The sequence below is a fragment of the Homo sapiens genome, chromosome 19 (assembly GCF_000001405.40).
Source record: "Homo sapiens chromosome 19, GRCh38.p14 Primary Assembly".
Classification (NCBI taxonomy): Eukaryota; Metazoa; Chordata; class Mammalia; order Primates; family Hominidae; genus Homo; species Homo sapiens.
The window spans coordinates 29,314,704-29,338,392 of record NC_000019.10 but is presented as its reverse complement, the minus strand read 5'-3'; the positions used below and the strand labels follow the sequence as shown (position 1 = coordinate 29,338,392).

Below are 23,689 nucleotides of genomic sequence, written 5' to 3'. Positions count from 1 at the left end.
GGCTGGTCAGGGGTCTGTTTGTGAGGAGCAGTCAAAGGGCTAGCAATAAACACTTAAGAGAATTGAACTCATTTTAAAAAATGAATTTTTAAAAAATGACATGCTTCCCTGTGGGTAGAATAAGAGGATCAGGTGAGATCAGTGGTTTTCAAATGTCAGCCAATGGACTTGTTCCTAGACTGCTGCAAAATGAGAAAAGAAAAACAAGGACAGGTAGTGTGTGTGTGTGTGTGTGTGTGTGTGTGTGTGTGTGTATACACATATATGCATATATATACACATACATGCGTGTGTGTATATATATGTGTGTATATACACACACACACGCAGGTAGCGTATGCACACGGACACACACACCCTCCTAAATTTATTTGCTACAAAGGACTTTTCTTTATTCCAAGATTATATGATTATATCCTGGTGGTGAGTGATAACAGATGGCCACTTAAAAGACATGCCTTTGATTGACAAAATTTAAAAGTGAGCAATTTGATACCAGTCATTAAATCACTTCAGTCCTCTCCCCTGCTGCTCTTATCTCCAATATGGGTCCCAAGCATCTGAGCAAACTACCATTCCTGTAGCAAACTCATGTACTTTCATGTGTTTGAATGGTGTATTTTCCGGGAGATGAATGTTCTCACCTTGTCCTACAAGGGAGTTTGTATTCACCCTCCAAGACTCACATAGAGTGTCACCTTCTCTCGGAAGCCTTCCCTGATGACTCTCACCCACATTCATGCCTGCAAGGTACCTGTTCATTCTATGGTGCCACAGATCTGAATCCATATTTCTGTCGTGGCACCTGGGAGTTTTGGGTGCAGTTTTCTTTTGTATTTATGTTTCTCCTGTGAGCTAGAGAACCTTGAACAGGGTGAAGTGGCAGTCTGTTTGTTTCTCAACTCTGTAACTCCAAGTCACAGCACTGGGACTGACATATGAGTTCTCTCAATCAGGGTTCAGCTGAACATACCTGGAACACTCAAATCAGGGTAGCCTCGAGAGATTCTGCTAGAGACTGTTAGCCTGGTGTAGAGGACTCACAAGGAATAGGACAGGAGTCTGCTTCCAGGAAGAGCAAACACTCCATGATTCCTGGCACCATATCTGGAGTAGAGGCAGGGACGATGGTGTGGAGAGTGCAACCAGCAGGAGCTGAGACCGTCTGGGCAGCAGCCAGGCCATGGTGGCCAATAGGGAGAGAGCCGAGGCCTTTCCCTTCTTCCTCCAGTCTCCTGTAGGGACTGCCCCTTGGGTGGAAGCCAGGCCTTGAAATGCCTGGGAAAGACGGGAGCAAAGGCTTTACTTCGTCAAAAAGCAACCTCACTTCAGTTGTGGGCTATGTGAGTCTTTGTACTACACTGATTAGTTAAGCACATTTTACAGATGAGGAATTGGAGGCTCAGAGAGGTTAAGAAACTTGTCCAAGGTCTCAAGCTTCTTTGTGAAAGCAGCACAGCTGTATCACAGCTCTGGCTGACTCTCAAACACATACACTTTTACCTCCTACTCCAAGTATCTCTTGGTTTCTGGGTGACATCCCTCAGCCAACCTTCGAAGACAACCAACACAGAATGGGGTTCACTTTTTTGGTAACCTATCCAACACTTATCTCATTATGTTTAATGGATGAATAGAGAGATGGAGACATGGTTGAATGGAGGAAGGGAAGAAAGGAGGATGGATGGATGGATGGATGAATGGACAGATGGGTGGACAAATGAATGGACAGACAGATGGACAGACAAATGGACAGACAGATGGAGAGACGGATGGATGGTTGGATGAATGGATGGATGGACAGATGGACAGACAAGTGGATGGATGAACGGAGAGACAGATGGACAGAAAAATAGATGGATGAACGGACAGACAGATGGACAGACAAATGGATGGATGGACGAATGGACAAACAGATTCATGAGTGCATGAAGTGGCTTAACTTCCGTTGTGACTTGAAAACAGTCAATGAGCAAGAAGTACTTCAGGGCAATTTCTTTTTTCCAAATATTTCCCTCTTAAAAATTATTTTATTTTTAATTGGCAAATAATAATTGAATATATTTATGGAGTACAACCTGATGTTTTGATATATGTATGCATTATTGAATGATTAAATCAAGTCACTTAACACATTCATCACCTCGCATACTTATTTTCTGTGGTGTGAACATTTAAATTCTACTCTTTTAGCAATTTTGAAATATGCAGTACATTATTATTAACTATCATCACTTGCTGTGCTATAGATCACTAAAACTCTTTCCTCCTGTCTCTCTGAGACCTTGTATCCTATGACCAACATCTTCCCTTTTTCTATTTCTCCCACCCCAGTCTCTGGTAGCCACCATTTTTACTCTGTACTTCTATGAGTTCAAGTTTTTTAGATTCCACATATAAGTCAGGTCATGCAGTATTTGTCTTTCTGTGCCTGACTTATTTCACTTGGCATAGTGTCTTCCAGGTTCACCTATGTTGCAAAAGATCAAGTGGGATTTACCCCTGGGTGCAAGGAAGTCTCAACACATACAAATCAATAAGTGTAATACACTATATTAACAGAATGAAGGGCACAAAACACATGACCATCTTAACGGATGCAGAGAAAGCATTTGACAAAATTCAAGGTTCTTTCATGATAAAAACTCTCTAATAGGTTTAGAAGGATTGTATGTCAACACAATAAAGGCCATATGTGACAAGCCCACAGCTAACATCATATTCAATGGTGAAAAGCTGAAAGCTTTTTCTCTAAGACCAGAGACAAGACAAAGAAGATCACTCTCACCACAAAATTAATATTTAAAAAGTAGTGTTTCTGCACACTAACAATGAACTATTCAAAAAAAGAAATTTTAAAAATCCAGTTACAATAGCATAAAAAACACTTAGGAGTGAATTTGAGGAGTTGAAAAATCTGTATGCTGGAAACTATAAAGCATTAATAAAAGAAATTGAAGATGACACACATAAATTATGGTACATTCTTATTTTGCATCTTGCTTTTCTACTTTGCAATGTTTTGAGAAACATTTCCTCTCAGTTTACAGGAATGTGCTCTATTCTCTTTATGGGCTGTCTACTCTTCCTCAGTCTGGATGGTTTATGATTTATTAATCATTAAAGCATAAAACAGACAGAGAATCTGGTTGATATATTCTTGGTTCTTTCCAGTGTTTGCTACACAACATGAACGTGCTCACTCATGTACTACTTTGCACGTGTGTAAAAGTAAAGTTGTGTAAAATAAATTGCAACTTGGAACCAACCCAAATGCCCACCAGTGATGGACTGGATAAAGAAAATGTGTAAATGGCACACATACACCATGGTGTAAATGGCACATACGCATCATGGAATACTATGCAGCAATAAAAAAGAATGAATTCATGTCCTCTGTAGGGACATGGATGAATCTGGAAGTCATCATTCTCAGTAAGCTAACACAGGAGCAGAAAACCAGACACCACGTGTTCTCACTCATAAGTCGGGGTTGAACAATAACACATGGACACAGGGAGAGGAACATCACACACCGGGGTCTGTTGGGAGTTCGGGGGCAAGGGGAGGGAGAGCATTAGGACAAATACCTAATGCATGCGGGGCTTAAAACCTAGATGATGGGTTGATAGGTGCAGCAAACCACAATGGCACATGTATACCCATATAACAAACCTGCACGTTCTGCACATGTATCCCAGAACTTAAAGTAAAATTAAAAAAAAAGAAATTGTGTAAAAATCATAAAAATGCAATTACATAGTCTTAGGTATTAACATTCTAAATTCCTGTAGATGTTGCCAAATAGCTCTTCCTGCCAGTCAGAATAAGCTTGTTGACGCAGTGGGTCATAAGCAGCACCACATCGTCCTGGTTCAAAATAACAAAGGGTTATTTCTTTCTAACATTCGTATCTGTCTTGGATCCTGGGGAGGGACTCAATTCTGCATCGTCCCCCCTCTGAGACCCAGGAGGACAGCACAGCCACAATCTGGAGCAATTATGAGATTCACAGCACAGGGACCCTAAAAGGGAATGTACTGAATCATGGACTGTGTCTCCCACTTTTTGCTTGGAAGTGACACCTTTGTATTTGATTGGTGAAAGGAATCACATGGAATGGATCTGTGCCATCCTGCCACGTGTCCCAAGGATGAGTGAGCAATCCTGGTGACTGCTGTCCTCTGCAGAGACCACGCCTGGGTCCCCCACCCTCTCCAACACAGGGTCTCGGCAGACCCCTTAATTGTGGCCTATCTGACAGATGAAAAAAATCTTGCCTATATATATGTGTGTGTGTGTGTGTGTGTGTGTGTGTATGTTTTATTTTACTTTTTGTGTAAATACATAATATGTTATATAAAGCTTACATATATATTTTATAGATATATGAGACATCTCATATATCTCTGATGCCTTATTTTATTAAATAAAAATCTAATTTCACAGACGTTTATTTAATTATATTCCTTCTTCCTTCATTCAAACACTTCCCTAAAATGGTCATTAATCTGTAGGGATACAGGTAAGCTGGGCATGGTGGTCTTGGAAATCCTCCTACAACTCCATCGAATCATTTGTTTCTCTGGCGCTGAGTCCCTGTCCTTGGTGGGCAGGGTCTGGACTGTGCTGGGCAGTGAGCACACTGGCCCTGTCAAGGCAGGTGTGCGATGCTGCCCTCAGGAAACTGGCTACCTAGTGCTATGGACTTCACGAAGAGTCATCAGCTTTAGTAGTTCTGCATCCAGGTGTTTGCATGTTTGTCAAGGGTTTGGTTTTTATTTTGTTTCCAAAGACGATTTATTGTTGCTGACACATAAAAAGGGGGGTAAAACACTGTTATCTAGAAATCTAACACATAATCCCCTTACTATGCTCTGATTATTAGCATGCCCCTCAATCTGAATGTTCACCCAATTAACTTCTAAAGAGGCTTTCCTGCCCTCCAGAGATGCTGAGCAAATAGTGTTTGTGGCCAGAGTACAATAAAGAGTCCAGGAAAAAGAGAGAAGGGACCCACCCCTTTGAAATGAAAGGGACAGCCGGGCACAGTGGCTCATGCCTGTAATCCCAGCACTTTGGGAGGCAGAGGCAGGCGGATCACGAGGTCAGGAGATTGAGACCATCCTGGCTAACATGGTGAAACCCCGTCTCTACTAAAAATACCAAAAATTTGCCAGGCTTGGTGGCGGGCGCCTGTAGTCCCAGCTACACGGGAGGCTAAGAAAGGAGAATGGCATGAACCCGGGAGGCGGAGCTTGCAGTGAGCCGAGTTCATGCCACTGCACTACAGCCTGGGCGACAGAGGGAGACTCCATCTCAAAAAAAAAAAAAAAAAAAAAAAAAAAAGAAATTAAAGGGACAAACCCACAAGAAGGGACGTCAAAGGTGGTGACAGCATGCTGGCAGAATGCCTTGGTTGAGTGAATGTATGCGTGTGTGTTTGGGCTGCAATTAAGACATTTTCTTCCCATGGGCACATTGGGGTCCAGCAGTCTGACTTCCTTGTCACGGAACAAGGCAGTCAGCAACGGTGTGTGTATGCACTTAATTTGCAGAGCTTGTAAAATTCAGGAAACAAAAATGGACAGAAACATCCAGTTTTACCTTGGGACAACATATAAACTATATTCCAGGGCTCCTTCTCATCTTCAGGGATCTCTGCTGGGAGGCCCAAGTGGTCCAGCAGAGTTGGGTGGAGAGAGTGAGGTGCAGGAACAGCACAGCCTGCCATGATGACTGGGCTAGAAGAGAGTGAACGCCACTGCCTTCCCCATGTGGATTCATTGTGTGCAGGTGCAGGGTGACAGAAGAAACCCCTGTTCAAATTGAGGGCATTTGCTGGGTTACTTGCTTTTATTTTTGACATAAAGTCAACATAACCTACACACTTGAAAAATGGAATCAAAACAGGAAGATTGCAATATTGCTAAACAGAGTTTGGTGGGCTGTGGGTGAAATCTAGCTCCTAGATACATTGTTTTGGCTCTCACAAAGTGTTACAAAAGTTTTAACATTGAGTCGTCAAATTAAAAAAAAATTAACCAGAGGAGATTTCATGTAAAAATCAACCCTTCTGGTTTCTACTAAAAAAATGGGAATTTCTGTCAATCTTGAGTCTTAGCCCCATGCGACAGCCTGCTAGTAGAGCTTGGTGGCCCCTAAGATGGGGCAAGGGCATGGATTCAACAGTTTGCCACAGTCTTCACCCTTCCCTATTGCTTTATACCTTGCCTTTTTCCATAACTTATGGGACCACTGAGCCCTGTAGGCAGTTGAATTTTTGTGCTCTGTCATGACTGATGGTATAGATTATAGCTATTTTGGGGGAAAAAATCCCTCATGAAGTTAATTTATTTCAGTCTTTTGGGACAGACTCCAAAATAGGCTACCAAGCCTTGTTAGTAAGAGCCCCACTGCAGTGGTGGAGCCTTGATTTTCCAGTAGCAGCCCAAGGTCAAGGCTCATAAATCATCTCACAGCACCCCTGGCTGCTCAGAGCCTCGGTCATTCTGTTAGTTCAGAAGGGTGGGGCAGGTGCATCATTCTTGCTTTACAGACAAATAAACCGAGGTTCACAGAGGTTAAGTTACTCACCTCAGGTCACTCAAGAAGATAATGATGGTTGTTTGTGGATCTCAGGATCCAGGCTCCTCTATTCATCATAATCATTCCACCACCTGTACAGTTATTTATATATTTTTCTTTAAATTGAATATACACACAAAGGAATTCATTTGCATTCTATTGGAATGGGATACAATTCTGTCCTTTGTAATGGAAATTTACAAAATGTGCCATGAATTGGCAACTCCAAATGTGTTGTGCATGGATCTTTAGGAATGCGCATTCTCCAGTTCTCTCTCCTCTCTTTCCTCCTCTCCCCCTTCCCCAACTCTCTCGACTTACCTAATTAGAGAGAATGACAATGCCAATGGATGGCAAAGCCCCAGGGGAAATGTGGGGCATCACAGATGGAAGATAAGTGACCTTCAGCCCATATGCTCTGGGCTTTTGAAGGGAGTCTTCCTCTACAGGTCTTCTGAGATGCACCCTGATTCTGTTGACAAAGAGAGGTCAAGCCAGGTGCCCTGTGTAACATGCTTAGATGCCAGCATCTTTTTCTGAGGTCATGTGGAGGTGTGAAGGTGAGACCAGCTGGGGCTGGAGGGGGTCTCATTCCTCCAAAGATGAGTACACAATTATTGACCTTCATATGCTGCTTTAGATGTTGAGGTGGGGGGTGCAGGTTTAGGAGGCACAAGTTTAAACCACTTTTGTGCACCTGCTATGACGGGCACTGGGCTTAACATGGGGAGACAGGCATCAAGTCTCAGGCTGGGGAACAAGTCCTACAGAAGGAGACCCAGATGTCCTGGTAACAGGTCAGATAATGGAGACGTTAGGAGATCTGCTATGGGGCAGCAGGACTTAGGTAGCCTAGAAAGTTGAATTTAGAGTGGAAAAAAAAAACACCAGAAGCAATTGCCTGGAGAGGTAATTTGTCAAAATATTTTGTCTGCATTTGAAAGAAACAGAACCTCCTGTAGCTCAGGCAAGGAGATTTTATTGGTTTACATCAATGGGAAAGTCCAGGATTTGTGGCTTGGGATGGCCAGATGCAGATGCGAACAGTGTCACCAGGATCCCACGACGGTTCTGCCCTCCTTCATGCTGTCTGCTCCTCAGGCATCCCTCAGTGGTCCTCAGCCAGGAGCCTCAGGGAAAACTGGCTCCCGCTCCTAACGGTGGTCTAAGAGCTGAAGCCCAGTGGCTCTGACTGCCTGCTTGGGCTGCCTGTCCATGCCAAGCCAGTGACCTTCAGCAGGGGATGTCATGCCTGGCCAGGTGCCTGCTGTGGAGTCCACAGTGAAGTCAGACTTCTTGAGCCGTGTGGGCTGGGAATTGGGAGGGGCATTCTTCATCAGAAAACCTGTTTCCAGAAGAGCTGGATTTGTGGGGCAGCTGGAGATGACAATCATCTTCTCTTAGCCTCAAAGACAGGCTGGACTGTATGATGGGCAGGCACCTGGAGGGGGTGTGAGGCCAGCAGAGGGCCGAGGTGCCACCGTGAGCTTAGTGATGCATTCCGACAAGGCTCCGAATTCACCAGATGCCATTCTGCCCATTCCTTCTTTCCATAAACATGGAAGGGGGAAGGACTTTAATTGCATCCTGACAAGAATATTGTCCTTTAATGAGTCCCTGCAGTAATCTTCTAAAGTCATGGTCATCATGCCCAGCTGTGGGAAACTTTTTGTCCCCATGGAGAAACTTTTCTTTCCCATGGATTTCCAAAGAAGGCACCAAAACCACACTCAGGGCAGATCTATAAACCATTGTGAGAGGAAGGACAAGGAGGACCCCCATATTTCCCAACAACCACCTTTGGGTAGTTCTGTGGAATGTTTGCTGTGTGACCTTAGGCAGGTCACTTAACCACTCTGAGCTTTGGTTTCTTTGCTTTTGAAATGGGAACAAGTTGAGGGCTGTAGCAATGGTTAGAGATGATGTGTGCACAATGCCCAGCATGTAGCCGGTGCTCAGTAAGTCATGATTACGTGTATCTTACACTGTTAAGAACGCTGGGTGGAGGCTGCACTCTTAATCAGGGAGTTCCCTCTGTGGTCCAGCTTGGCTCTGTTTCCCCAGGGCCATCTTGGATTTAGCATGCTCTCACCCTCACTGCCACTAACCTACGCAGGGAGCTCTCCCAGGTGCTGAAGCAAGCCTGTCCCCATGCAATCCACTGGTGCAGAGGTCACAGAAGTGAGTCAAGCATGTGCCTCCCTAGGGAGCCCTGTTGCTGGTGGCCAGGCTCTGCTGTGGCTGGAGGAGCAACCCTGCCATGCCAAGTCAGCAGGAAAGGACAAGGTGCCTGCCAGGCTGTCGGAATGATGGCATCTCCTCATCTTGGGCTCTCTGCCAAAGCAGAAATTTCATGTCCACCTCTTCCCAAACAAGAAGTCTGTGGCTCTGGGACATGTGGCCTCCAGGACAGGAAGGACCACCTGGAGTAATGTCATCTATGCCTGTGCGTGACCCAAGGCTAAGGTTAGCCTCTCCCAGCCTCAGTGAGCTCCAGGCCTCTTGGACGTCCCCAGAGAGCTCAGGAGGAGCCCTAAGTAAACCTGAACTTGCTCTGCCTCCCTTCCTTCCTCTCCACCACCTACAACCAGTCTGGCTTTCTCAGACTCCTGAGTTTCTGCACCACCAGCCTCTCTTCTGTCCCCTGAGATGTGCCCTGCAGCTTCTCCTCCCTGCAGTGAGCACTCAGGCTGCATGGTGACAGGGCTTCCTTCCGGTTGCTCTCCTGGCTCCTCTCTTCCCATACAGAATGCACACAGGGCCTATCTCCTTCCTGCAGGAAGCTTGTCCCTCATGGGCCCATCCCAAAAGGCCTCACAATGGCAATGCCTCCAGAAGGATGTCCCTGAGAAGAAGCCCTCCTCTGGGACTGGTTCTTTGCAGCCTCTTACTGCCTGGAACTCAGCTCTGGGTACCATGGAGGGCACTAAGAGGAGGAGGGAGGCCCTGCCATGCAAGCATCGCCCATCCAAGCCCTGCCAGCCTCACTGGGTCCTGGGGAGGAGGGAGGAAATTTGCCAGTGAATTTGCATTGAATTTGAATATGTATTTGCATCTACTTTGCCATGACTGTGAAGTCGAGTCCCCAGGCAATTTCTAACTCAATATTTTAGGGCTGTCACCCTTAAGACTGTGAGCTTCTTTTTCTCTTCTCTGTCTTCTAACACAGTGCTGTGGACTCTGAGATTATCATCATGAAAGCTGAGCTAGGAAGGGAGAGGCAGAGTTGAGAGTGTAGAGGGCATGAGAGTGAGGAAAAAGAGGGTCATAGCTGCCACTTGCCTTGGTGGGGTCCAGCTTGGAAAAGTCACTCCTGCCCCTTGGGACCAGGGCTTGTGACCGAGGTGCTTGGATCTGCGCTATTTTTTTTTTTTGCACATACCTGCTTGGTATGGTTTGGCTGTGTCCCCACCCAAATCTTACCTTGAATTGTAATAATCCCCATATGTCAAGAGCGGGGCCAGGTGGAGATAACTGAATCATGGGGACAGTTTCCCCCATTCTGTTCTTGTGGTAGTGAATAAGTCTCATGAGATCTGATGGTTTTATAAAGGGGAGTTCCCCTGCACATGCTCTCTTGCCTGCCACCATGTAAGATGTGCCTTTGCTCCTCATTCACCTTCTGCCATGATTGTGAGGCCTCCCCAGCCATGTGGAACTGTAAGTCTGTTGAAACTCTTTCTTTATACATTACCCAGTCTCTGGAATGTCTTTATTAGCAGCATGAGAACAGATTAATACACTGCTTATTTCCTTTTTTAAAAAGTGCAGATTTATGAAAAACCCATGAGAAAATGGGTTACATGTATATAGTGTGTGGTGATAGAATTGGGGTATTCAGGATATTCATCGCCTGAGTACAATACATTTTGGTTAAGTATCATCACCCCACCCTGCTATCAGACACTGAACTTATTCCTTTTGTCTTACCGTATGTTTGCACCCTTTAACCCACTTCTCTTCTTCCTCTGGATCTGTGCTATTAATGCAGAGCATCACTGATGTATTGAGTAGCCACCACCAGGCCCTGGCTTTGGGAAAGAAACATGAACAGACCCCTCTTGCCTTCAGTTGCTCGTGGCCTGGCGGGAGAGACAGACTTCTGCCAGGGAGGCATTGGCTGGGTCTGTGTTAGAGACCTGTGTCGGTCCAGCAGAGGCACTGAGGTGGGAGGAGCTGTTACCCTCACCTGGTGGGGAGGTGGGGACGGTGAAAAGCTGCCTAGAGAAGTGAATGCTTGAAGTGCACCTTGGAAGGGGAGAGGGTGTCCTCCAGGCAGGAGGAGAGGGAAGAACACCCAGGGAGAGGCTGGGGAGGCGGGATGCTCTGCTGAGTGCCCACATGAAGGGTGGAACTTGCAAGCTTAGGGGTAAGGAGGGGCAGGGACAGGCGAGGTAGAGATCAGGCCAGATGCTGAGGGGCCTTAAAAGGGCCCCCTGAGGAGTTGAAGTTGTAAACAGCAGATGACGGACATTCCTGGGAGGGGCTAAGCCAGAGTAGGGTGTGGGATGCTCCGCATGTTAGTTTTAGCCTCCTGTCTCCTACCAGAGTTGGGCTTTTCAAGGGCAGGAGCTGCAAGCCTCGTGAGAAATTGTCCTCAGGGCCCTTGCATGCAGGGGCCCTCAATAAGTGTACAGCACGTACATTCAGTAGGTGCACAGTGCGTGTCTGTGGTAAACAGAGTTGTGAGCTCCAGATGCAAAGAGCTGGCCTGCCCAGACCAGCATGCGGCCTGCTCCCAGCTAAACAGTAGACTTCCTGGCCAGGTGTGCTGGCTCAGGCTTGTGATCCCAGCACGTTGGGAGGCTGAGGCAGGAGGATCACTTGAGGCCAGGTGTTCCAGACAGGCCTAGGCAACATAGCGAGACCCTGTTTCTACATAAAATAAAAACTTAGGTGGGCATGAAGGTGGTAGTAGTGTAGTCCCAGCTATTTGGGAGGCTGAGGTAGGAGGATCGCGTGAGCCCAGGAGTTGAAGGCTACAGTGAGCTATGATTGTGCCACTGCACTCCAACATGGGTGACAGAGCAAGACTCTGTCTCAAAGAACAAAACAAACCAGTAGGCTTCTTTCAGGAGGTGGGCACCCTAACAAAGACAGTGGGGAAGGAGGATGGGGTAGAAAGGAGCGGAGCACGAGCTAACTCTGAGGCCTGGAGGAGCACAGAGTGGGAGGCCAGAAATGACAGTGGCACGGACCTGGCAGTTCTGAGTCAGAGCAGCTGGAGATAGTGTGGGTGGGGTCCCTCCAGCCAAGCAGGGCACTGAGGAAAGTGGGAGTTAATGGAACAGCCTTGACTCCACCCACTTTTAAGTGACTCAGTGCTAAGGCTTGTGTCCCTCATCTCCTACCCCCACTCCCTCCCCAGGCATAAATAACCAGAGAAAAGAGAATCAGGGAAGCCAGTGGCCTAGGGGTGTCACGGGGCCTCTTGCATGGGCAGAGTAAGGTGGAGAGGCCCGACAGCTCTTTAACAGAGCTGGCATTCTAAGAACAAACACTGCCCACCATCCCCAGCTGAAGCGTGCTATTTTTTGTTATATTCATCTATCACTGTAAATTGCCTGCTACTGTTGCCTGGAATTTGTTTTCGTAGTTCAGAGATGCTGGGCTTTATTTAAAAGAATGGAAGAAAATAAGGAATGAGCAGAAATTATCAGTGGACCTCACTTTCCAGAAAAATCCCCAAATAAAAAACACTAACCCAGTTATGAGACAAAAAAGATCTAGCAGATGAAAAGGGTCTTCCCTTTCTATGTACAACTGTCCCGTGGGGTTCTTGGAAACTACTCATTTTCCCTGTATGTCTGAGTATTGGAGCTTGGAAATTAGAGGAAAATGAGAACTCAGTTGTAAGCAGGATTTCCCTAAGTGTGTTCTGCAGAGCTGTCAATCAGTGGTTGAATATGTTAGGAACACGTTGTGACCTCGGTCTGGTGCCTCTTTTCTATTCTTGGAGCATGCACTGCACATGCAGGTGTGCACGGCAACTTTGGCTTATCCTGCAGGGCTGGCTGCACAGGGGTGAGATGTGTGTGGGCTCTCGGGCTCCAACTCAGGAGGGCTCTGCGCCTAGTGTCACGTTCTGTGGTCTTGCAATTCTTTATACTTTCTGAACACAGGTCCTGTGTTTTCACTTGGTGCCAGGCCCCACATGGAAGGCTCTGACATGTCCAGTAGTAAAGAAACCCATTTGATTTTGCTCCACACATCATTTCTTAAAGCTGTCTAAATTTTATCTTAGTTCGAGCTGCTGTAACAAGATACCATAGACAAGTTGGCTTAAACAACAAACAGTGATTTCTCATGTTTCTGGAGGTAAAGAAGTCCAAGATTCAAGGTGTCCAGTGAGGAGCCGCTTCCGGGTTTGCAGACAGCCATCTTCCTGTTTCCTCGCATGGCAGAGGGCAGAGACAGGAAGTGATCTCTTTCATGTCTCTTCTCCTAAGGCACTGATCCTTTTATGAAGGTTCCACCCTCGTAACCTAATCACCTCACAAAACACCTACCCCCTAATACCATTACCTGGGAGGTTAACATTTCAGCATATGAATTTTGAGGAGATGGAAGCATTCAGTTTATAGCAAATGTGAATCATTATTTTAAAGGAACACCTATTAATGACCTGTGGAATTCATATTTCTCAGAATACACTTTACAAAGACCTCACACCTCAAAGTAAGAAATATGTTTTTGAAGAGAAAGCAGCTCAGAAACGGGGATGTGTGAATATGGGAAGCTTGAGTTTGAAGTTCCTAAAGTCAACCTCCAGTTCTTCTGGGAGCATGGATGCTGTGGAAACCAGTGCCGCCTGGCAGTCCGGGTGAGGGGGACAGGGGATTCGGGCACAGTGAGGAGGCCGACCTGGGACTCAGAGCCTAGGCTGCCTTTCCACAACTTGTCCTCACCATAGCCACACATCTGGGCTATCCCCACAGGGGGCCACTTTACATGGAGAGAAAAGAGACAGCGTGGTCATTTGATGTCATGTGGGCAAATGAAATGTGAGAGTAAATGTAATTTAATTCTAAAGTTCTGTTAGTTATTTTACTCTTAAGCTGTGTTTTGGGGTTGTCCATGCTGGTCTCAGCCACCCCCAGACAAGGAGGGTGACTCCAACCCTATAATAAGCTCATGGCACGCCACTCAGGAGCCACCTGGAGCCCACCTGGCTGTGGGGAGAGTGGGATATGCCCCTCCAGGGTCAGTTCAAATGACCTCCCATCCACCTGAGCACTTTTGATCAGCATCTCTGGCCTGCCTGGGGGTAGCAACTTTGTATCCACCAATTCTGACTCTTCGTCCATGAGCCCAGGAGCTGCGCCATACCTGCCAGCCATACAGGCACTCTGTGAGCACCCAGCCTGGAGCCTAGCATGGAGAGGACACAGGTCACCACAGCACTGTTGGATCACATGGTGAAAATGCCCACTCCAGAGGTGGCAGCCGGGGCGGCCCACCTTCCCCAGACAGTCTTCGTCCGAATCTGTCATCCAATCCCTTATTCCCCGCTCAACTGCTTCTCCAAATCACACCATCCTCACCACTGACAGAATGAAGCTCATACTCCACAGTGGCACATCTGAGCCCATGGGAGTCCCAGCTCACCCTATTTTCCCATCTCATTTTCCAGGGTTGATCATGCAGCCCATGATCTGGACAAAGGGAACAACTTACCAATCCTTTTACCGGCTGGGTGCCTTCTCTCTGCCGCTTGCGCTGGGCCTCCCCTTGGAATGTGTCTCTCCTCACTTCCCTCTCTGCTTGTCCAGCAAAGCCTTTGCTGGTTCAAACGTCTCCTGGTCCTTGAAGCCGTTTCTAATCACTCAGCTCATACTCCAGCCTCAGTTACACTCCTCTGGCACTGTCTTTGAGTACCTCGACAAGCAGATCCTGGAGTAAGAACCTGGTTGCAGGTCATCTATGTCGGGGGCAATCCCAGGAGGCAGGAATGGGGACATGGGGGCGGGGAGAAGGAGAGGGAGAGCAGCCATGAAGGGTGTGCTACTCGGCAGGTGGCCACTGTGGGCACCCTGGCCTTAGCCTTCTAGGACCTCCTGTGGAGCCGTGAAGAATGTGCTCCCCACCGGAGCTTCCCACCGGAGGCCCAGGAGGGCGAGGCTCTATTTCCCAGTGACTGAGGCTGCCCTGGTGTGGATTCCCCCAAACATCCTGGGGGAGCCTGCGTGTGGCTGAGCAGTGTTTTGTGGCATTGAGGAAGCCTCGGTCCATGCTTGAGGCAGGACCCTGGCAAACACAGGGTCCCATCTGCTGCAGCTGGGCTGAAATCTGGGGGCCAAGGGATGCATGGTGCATTCCAGCAGCAGCTATAAGCTGCTATTTTTCTTCTACTGGACCCCTGGAGGCTGGAGGCCTGTCTGACTCCTCCCTGCATACTCCAGCACCCCCACCATGCAGGCCTGTGGTAGGAATCATGGTGCTGGTGCATCGGAGGAATAATATCGGACACACGTTTCTCCACACGATCCCGAGCTTTGCTTCCAAGCTGCCTCGCTGCACATTTCCAGCTCACTAATGTCGGGGTTTTTTGTTTTGTTTTGCTTTTTAGAGATGGGGTCTTGCTCTGTCACCCAGGCAAACTGAACTAACTATGTCAGAACTGCATCCTCCACTGACAGTGTCAGCTGTGGCTGGGAGCAGCCGCCAACATTGCTGCATGCATCATCATTCTGCCTCAGCCCGCCCTCTAATTGCCTCCCAGCTCCAGGGCAGGGTCCATCCCAGTTTTCTTCTGGGACATTCCTGCAGTTTATTGCTGTTCCAGGTGTTCCTTTTGTTTCTTTCAAAAAGCATCAAGTGCAGCTTGTAATATTACAAAGAAAACATGTAAAACTCACTGGTTAGAAATACAGGTAAAAAAATCAATTAGGGAGTAGGGCGTGGTGGCTCTTGCCTGTAATCCCAACATTTTGGGAGGCGAAGGCGGGCAGATCACTTGAGGTCAGGAGTTCGAGACCAGCTGGGCTGACATGGTGAAACCCTGTTTCTTGTAAAAATACAAAAATTAGCTGGGTGTGGTGGTGGATGCCTGTAATCCCAGCTACTCGGGAGGCTGAGGCATAAGAATTGCTTGAACCTGGGAGGCAAAGGTTGCAGTGAGCTGAGATAGCACCACTGAACTCCAGCCTGGGTGACACAGTGAGACTGTGTCTCAAAAAAAAAAAAAAAAAAAAGAAAGAAAAAAAAAGAAAAATCAGTTCGGGGAAGGTGAGGGATTAATGCAACAAACTCTTGAGCTGAACCATGAACCGCAACTCAGCATTGCTAGACGAGGCTCCTGGCAGCCAAGGCAAAAAAAAAAAAAAAAAAAAAGCTCAGTGAGGTTATACATTTCCTTTGCAAATAAAAGGGAGCAAACGAGCTTGTCTAAAGTTATAAGCTTCATGCTACCAGTGAGCAGAAGGAAGGATTCAGAGCGTGGGCTCTAGAGGAAAGAATACAGGGTAATTGTGTATTTGCTTGCAGTTTTGCAAAACACAGAAATGTTTTCCAAGTGACTGCTGAGGATGTTCATCAAATTCAAGCACTGAATTTTATAACTGATTAGGAGCCTTTCTGCAAGACTCTAAAGTTAATACAGGCCAGCCACCTTGCATTTCTGGTCATTTAGCTCAGGGTGGCAACAAACTGAAATTCCCACAGAAGCTGAGCCAGGAAAATGAGAGAATGAGACAGGCCAGCTGTAACACAAACAGGAGCAATGGGGACTGCAGCAAATGAAAGAGCTTAAAGTGCAGCACGTTCCCGGCCATGGCTGATGCTGCCCGTGGAGGACGCAGTTCTGGCATCATCAGTTCAGTTTGCCAAACATGTTAGAAACCCGAATTTGTATGGCAGCTCCCATTTTTTAAACATTGGCAATCCTAATTTAAAACTTTACTAAGGCTGGATGCCATGGCTCACACCTGTAATCCCAGTGCTTCGAGAAGCCAAGGCAGGTGGAGCGCTTGAGCCCAGGAGTACAGGGCCAGCCTGGGCAACATAGTGAGATGCCATCTCTACAAAAAATAAAAATAAATACCTGGGCATGGTGGTGCATGCCTGTAGTCCCAGCTACTAGGGAGGCTGAGGTGGGAAGACCTCTTGAACCCCGGAGGCTGCAGTGAGCCATAGTAGTGCCACTGCACTCCAGCCTGGGTGACAGAGCAAGACCCCATCTCTACAAAACAAAACAAAACATTCCCAACATTGCTGCATGCTTCAGCCTACTTGCTTATGAGCCAACAGTGCGGGGTGATCAAGCTGAGAGCATGAGGAGGCCTGGGAAGGAGGGAGAGGTCTCTTAAGCCTTCAAAATTCTCCAATCACATTTGGGTAATTGCCTGTCCTTTATAGGAAAAGAGACTGACTTGTGAAGGGCCCAATCTGTGAAAAAACCTGCATAGAGGTGTTGGCTGTTGACCTGGTTCTCTTTGGGCATCATCTGCAGCCTGGCTGAGCTAGCATCACTCTCCTGGGGGCCTGCCTGCCTCTCCTGCTGTCTTTGCCTCCCTGGGTTGGGACACAAGCTCCCCACAGCTAGGAGGCTGCCCCTGCACCACCTGGCACACAGTAGGTGTTTAGTAGGTATTCATGGACTCTAAGGATGACAAACTCCCTCTGCCTCCCACATTGCACTGGACAGGGATTTTTCTGCAGTTCGTGCTCTAAGACACATTTAATTGAAATAGTGAAGGAAGTTTTGTCTACAAAACAAAGGCAGCTTTTCAGTTCCCTGAGAAGTGGCCCCGGGATGAGGAAATCTCACCCTAAAATCTTCCAGACGCATTGTCAAATCCACCGATCATTGCAGAGATCTATTCCCCAAGTTGCCTTGTGCAGGTCTGTCTGATGGCAATCCCGTAGCATCCCATGGTGGAGGCCATGCAATGTCTCTGCCTAATGGACCTCAGTGTTATTACAGTCATTCCTGCTATTTAGCCTAATTTCTCTGGCTCCTCCTGGCTCTGCCCACCCCCAGCACTTGCACCTGGAGTGGCCGCCGAACACTCTCTCCTCTGGGCCTCTTGATTAATTCTTCGCAGGTATAAATCGACAATTATTATGCCTCCCATTAGTCATCTCTCCTCTGGGCTGTACAAATTTAGTTCTCCTGATAGCAATGAATCACAGGACAAAGTGTTCATCTGCATCGCCTGCCAGCTCTTTCAGTCAAACTTGGTTTTTATAACACCTCATTGCAAGTCTCCTTAACATCTCTCTGTTCTGGACGTTAAATTCAAAGCTCTAATGGCATGGAGTCTGTCATCCTCACTCTCTCCGTCCTCCCTGAGATGTGAGGTCTTAGGTGCCTGGCATGGAAAGCAGATCTGGACACTCCTGTTCGCCTCATGCTGACACCTGGGCCGAGACGGGGGAGCAGATCAAGACTCACTCAAGAGCTGACAAAAATTGATAATAATGAGCCAATTTACATGGAAGAGACTCATTACCAAGCCAGTTACCAATACATGGGGTTGCTGGATTTCTGCCAATGCATAGGATCTCCTGCAGTGAGCGATTTTTCACCAGCTTGTAGAAAATCTTTCCAGCTTAAAAATACTTCAGGGAAATCATCTTTACAATAAAAAGAGAACTGTGAGTCTACAGCTGTGTGTGTATGTGTGTGTGGGATGGGGATGGCACACTGGGGGTGCTGATGACATCACATATAGACATTTGTGCCGTTTCTTCTCTTTTGGTCTCTCTCAACATTGAGACATGGGTGTAACTGATTTCTAGAAAGCCCCCTGAAATGACTGCTTAATTTTCAATACAACCAGCCAAGGCAATAAAACTGTAACTTGCGTGGAAGCAAAATGCTCATGATTTGAGGTCTATGATGGAATGTCCGGTCCTTGGAACCCCCAAAGACAATGTAGTAGAGACTAATTATGTGAAATTGGGCAGGAAGAGGGGGGAAGAGGAACTGAGTTTTGACCCCAGTAGAAAAGATTCTTACTGCCGACCTTTGGTTTTCATTATTTGAAAATTTCCAGGGGTTGTATTTCATTCCATTCTCTGATTTATCTTGTTGTGTGTGGACAGGATTTCAAGGAGCCAGAATCAAGCCGCTGTGATGCGGACCTGGGGAACAAGTTCAGATGAGATCTCCTTGTTCACCCTCACCTCTGTCCCCTCACCAAGCACTTTTCCATAGAGCCAAATCTTCAAAGTGCATCAGAAAGAAATGAGTTTGCATGGGCTGAAATAGGGGTCACTTTCTTCACACGAGGAAGCAAATTCAGGCCTCAAGTAAAGTGTCATGGCTTTGAGTGTTGTCTGTAAATAAGCCCCTTAGGTTGACTGCAGTTTTCTTTTGGGAATGATGCCCAACTCATGCTGGAGTCTAGCCTTCTGTCCTCTGAAAGCCTTGGGAGTAAAGCTTCTGTGACCAATGCACATCTGAAAGGCAGGGCGAGGGGCTGGATTGCTGGTGGTGGGCGCCATGCCTTTTCACCATGGCAGGGACCTCTTTGGAATGTTTGTGCCCATATGGGAAGTCAAGGACTCCCACCAGCTGCTCTCCCTGCCTCTTAAAAGGTTTTGCATGTCGTCTGCTCATCTAGGCTGTCAGCTCCCTAGAGACAGGGGCTCCTTCTGACATTCGTCCATCCCTCCATCTTCACGTGCCTGGTGTGTGGTCAGTGTGGGCATAATGGCTCATCCCTGTAATTCCAGTGCTTTGGGAGGCCAAGACAGGAGGATCACTTGAGCCCAGGAGGTGGAGGTTACAGTGAGCTATGATTGCACCCCTACACTCCAGCCTGAGCAACACAGTGAGACTTTGTCTCTAAAAATATATACACCTGGTGACTGGAAGCTGGGTGTGTGTAGCTTGGAGCCTGATGGTCCTCGGTTGACTCCCAGTTTCTTCTCTCCCTTTGCAGAACCTGAGGCAAAATATTTAACTTCTCTATCTTTCAGTTTCTTTGTACATAAATCAAGAACAATCCTGCCTTCCTTCCAGGGCTTGCAAAGGTGGCAGGAGGTGGCATGGGGTAAGGCTGAGCATGTTGTTGGGTCATCTCGGGTGAGCTGCGGGGGCAGGGAGGGAAGCCAGATTTCTGCTGGGAACTCTGGCAAGGGACCCTGTTTGGGCTGCCCCTGTCGTTCATTTTCTATAGATGGGCATTTCCTAGAGAAGATATGGTGCTGAAGCATTGGGAAAATCGGGCGGGGGGTTCCCTAACTCAGAGGTCTCTACACAGATGTCCTTTAGAGCTGGCAGCCAGATGCTCTAATGAGGAATTCCAGGTTGAGACACTCATGGGAGGGTGGGCTAGGGCTTGGGATTCCAGGGTGCAGATGGGATTCAAGATGCAGTGAGGGTTGTGTGTTATTCCTCTGCACTCACAGGTGGATGAAATAAGGGTCTACGCAGGACCGTTGCTTGCTTAGGGTCACATGTCAGGTTAGATGCAGAGACCTGGTTCTCTGAGCCCACAGTTGGGCTTTTGTGATGTGCTTGTCTGGATTCTTGAAGCAAGAGTTATTTCCCCTTGGCTGAAGAGAACCCTTGCTGCAATCCCACTCGGCCTTCTGAGGAAGGGCTGGCATCTCTTAGCCCAATCTTGGAAGCACGCTGAGCCTCCCACAGTCACTTTCCAGGGCACTGGATCTGGAGTTTGTACAAGGCTGACCGGCCTGGACCGGTTGCTGAACCAGGCCCAGTATCCCTTCTCTTTAACTGTTTTCTGCAGATGCATGAAATACAAACTACTGTTTGTCAGCCCTCTCCTGACCAGCAGCCACATCCTGAGAGCCCCCAACATGAACACAGTACCCCTTCCCTGTGCAGTCCAGATTCCCTTGCATGACCTGTGGCTGGATTTGCAGCATTCATCTTCATCTCTGAAAGCCTCTCTGCTGGTTACAGGTTGGGAGCCTGCATGTGTCCTGGTGTCTGTGTTTAGAGAGACCCTACAAGGGATGGTTTTTAAGAGGGCTTTTTATACAGCAGCTTGGAGGGGCTTGTTTGTTTATTTGTTTTTACATTTAATTACAAAGCTAGGTGGGGCATGGTGGCTCACGCCTATAATCCCAGCACTTTGGGAGGCCGAGGAGGGCAGATCACCTGAAGTTAGGAGTTGGAGACCAGCCTGGCCAAGATGGTGAAACCCCGTCTCTACTAAAAATACACAAGTTAGCTGAGTGTGGTGGCAGGCACCCATAATCCCAGCTACTTGGGAGGCTGAGGCAGGAGAATCACTTGAACCTGGGGGCAGAGGTTGCAGTGAGCTGAGATCTCACCACTGCACTCCAGCCTGGGCAACAGAGCGAGAGTCAGTCTCAAAACAAAACAAAAACAGCAAAGCTAAAAGGAGAGTTGCACAAAATCCAGGTAGATCTTCTAAGTATCTGAATGTTAAATAGGCTCTGGGGAATGTGTAGGACATAAATACACTTAATTTTTACTCTTAAAAAGTTATCCTCTCTGTTCTTGCTGATATTTTCTGCTTCTTCCAAGCTGGGCAAGTTCTCCCCAGTATGTAATTTTTGACCCTAGGAGGACATCTGAGCTCCTGTACTCAGCATTTCCCACATCTGCTGCCCAAGAGAACCCGGGCTTGGGCCTCCCTTGCTCCAGATATGCGGAAAATCATAGTTTGAGTGGGAGGGAAATTAAAACAGAAAACCTTCCAATGTGCTGACTCTCCAGGACATCACGACTCCTTGGGGAGGAGCTGCTGAAGGGGCACTAGAGAGAGAGGCCAGGATGATCTTCCTTCCGAGGTGTGGCCATCTTAGTCCTCATTGCCATCTTCCTTCCAACCACTGTTGGGACTCCTTTTCTTTCTCAGGACCTGGTGTCCCCATCTGAGCCATGGGAGCCTGGACATAATGCCTTCTCATCCACACAGGTGGCTTTCATGACCATAGCCTTCCTGCCTTTGGCCACCACTGGGGCCTTCAGCCTTTAGACCTCTGAAGAAGTCGAGGCCAGCCAGCACAAGGGCCCTGGGGATGGAGTCCTTGGAGGCCAGCCTCATGAGGCAAGGCTCAGAACCCAGAGGAGAGGTGGGGGCAAGCAGTTGACCACCACATTTCTCTTGGAGGAAGCCGTTAGGCCACGTGGACTCTTCCTGTAAAACAGGCCCTCTCAACATCTGTCTTAGTGCGTTTGGGTTGCAATAACAAAATACCTTAGACTGAGTGATTCAGAAAGAACAGGAACCTATTTCTCACAGCTCTGGAGGCTGGAAAGTCCAAGATCAAGGCACAGGCAGATCTGGTGTCTGGCAAGGACCCATTTCTACCATTGGTACCATCTAGATGTCCTTGTGCAGTGGGAGGGACAGACGGGCCTCCTTTTCCCTCATGCCCTCGTCACCTGCCAAAGGCCCCATCTCTTCATACCAACACACTGGGGAGTAGACTTCAATGTGGGAATTTTGGAGAGACATAAGCATTAAGATCATAACATCATCTAGAATAAAACAGGCTCAGGGGGAATATGTAGCCGATAAAAACACTTAATTAATTCCTACACAAGAAACAGCCGTAACACCCTCCCGCTGGCCCCCTCTGAGTTCCTCAGGCCCTGGAATGTGCTGAGAGGTGTGTCTCCAGGAAGCAGGAACAGCATCATTTATCTAAATTAGTGGTTCCATGTGCCTGTCATTCTGAGCCTTTCAGCTGAGCTACACATCTACTTGACTTAACGGATGAGAAAAAGGGAGTAAGAACTGCTAAGGAAAATAGTTTGGACACATACATGCAGGAAAATTGGCACTTTTCATCCTGAAACTTACTCACACTGAGGCCCTAGGCAATGCGTATTTAGTTAATTAACCAGAAAAGCATTGATGGTGTCACCTTACAGCTGTCTCTACAGCTGTCACAGGAAGGTAGGCACAGCCGAGACAAAGACCACTGGGCTGACATCTGGGGGCACACTCAGCCCTTGCCTTCTGCAGAGAAGGGTTCCCTCCAAGGGGACTGGGACTATTCAGGGCAAATAGTCCAGGTTTGCTGATCCCCAAGACTCTCCCTGGGGAGGTAAGGGGCTCCAGGGGAGAAACTGAACAGCTGGCCCCTCCCTGTGCAGAAGTGTGGGGCCTGAGGCCACTGGAGTTTGCTCTGACCACCAGGGAGGGGTTGGGCCTGGCCTCAGCCAATCTCTGGGAGTTATTCCCTATGTTGACTGCAGACATCTGTCACTCCGAGGGAGGCTATCTGGATGCAATCTGCCACATTTAACTGTTTGCTAATTGAGCCAATGCTGTGGGAGTTCTTGATGATCAATGCCACGTGCAATTCCTTATTACAGAGAGACCCAAACAGAGACATTTTCCAGGAAGGCTGAACGGTTGCCTCTAGTCACAGTCTCCAAAATCAGGGTAGTGGCCTCAATAGGGACAATGAATTAGCTGTGAAACGGTAGGGGGAAAATAATTTTCAACAAATCAGCAAAAAAAGCAGGAAGAATGAGTTGTTAACGGAAAACTGTTTTCCTTCATCTGATTCTGACCATGGTGAGGTCCCTGAGCCCTGGTGCCAGTGCACCGCCTAAGGCCTATCAGGATGCTGTTCTTCCGAGTGGGGCACTAGCTGAGATGCAAGACCCCATCATAGTGAGTGAAACTCCTCGTGTTACAAGATCGTAGGTTCGGTCCTCAACCTCATCATGGTGTCTCTGAGGACTCAAGTTCTGTTCTGCCCATGGTGACTGCAGTAAGAAGGGAGACAGAGCCACATCGGGGGAGAACTCCACATCTGAACTAGTTTGAAAGAGAATGAACCAGAGGCTGATGTGCCTTTAGATCTATGGCTGCTGGACTCCAGGAGCTTGTTGGGCCTGCATATAGGAGCCGCAGGGACAAGGATGCAGGCCCCCTTGGAGCCGAGTGGCCCCAACCCAGCCTCCTCCTCTCCACCCTGCCAGGAGGGACCCAAGAGAGCAGGGACTAGAGCTCAGAGGAAGGAGGAACTTGGAGTGCAGACACTCCCCAAGTGGGTCGCTCTGAAAATTGCTTGGAGTTGGGGACCTTGGTCATTGGCAGGAGGAGGGAGAAAGCATTTTCAGAGGGCTCAGGCTTAGAGACCAGGGAAGGGCTGCTGGGGAGGGATCTGGCTGGGTTGAGTCAGGTGGGTTTGT

The 23,689-nt window shown here is 47.8% G+C and overlaps 1 long non-coding RNA gene across 1 annotated transcript in view, besides 3 other annotated features; it reads left to right on the top strand.

Annotated features, from left to right (window-relative positions):
- VSTM2B-DT (VSTM2B divergent transcript) overlaps positions 1–23,689 on the top strand; it is a 238,742-nt gene that overhangs the window by 187,358 nt on the left and 27,695 nt on the right. The gene's annotated exons all lie outside the window — the stretch shown is intronic.
- Positions 8,614–8,814: a silencer, noted in NCBI's record as "peak3428 fragment used in MPRA reporter construct". NCBI's record gives its function as "represses an SCP1 promoter by STARR-seq MPRAs in K562 erythroleukemia cells {active_cell/tissue: K562}" and the evidence as "EXISTENCE:reporter gene assay evidence [ECO:0000049][PMID:32103011]".
- Positions 14,770–15,270: an enhancer, noted in NCBI's record as "H3K4me1 hESC enhancer chr19:29814030-29814530 (GRCh37/hg19 assembly coordinates)". NCBI's record gives its function as "activates a minimal SCP1, AML or CMV promoter by ChIP-STARR-seq in naive H9 embryonic stem cells {active_cell/tissue: H9 hESC(naive)}" and the evidence as "EXISTENCE:reporter gene assay evidence [ECO:0000049][PMID:30033119]".
- Positions 19,884–20,053: an enhancer, noted in NCBI's record as "experimental_50764 CRE fragment used in MPRA reporter constructs". NCBI's record gives its function as "activates a minimal promoter by MPRAs in K562 erythroleukemia cells, with activity observed for both the introgressed and non-introgressed 19:29809332 variant alleles {active_cell/tissue: K562}" and the evidence as "EXISTENCE:reporter gene assay evidence [ECO:0000049][PMID:34662402]".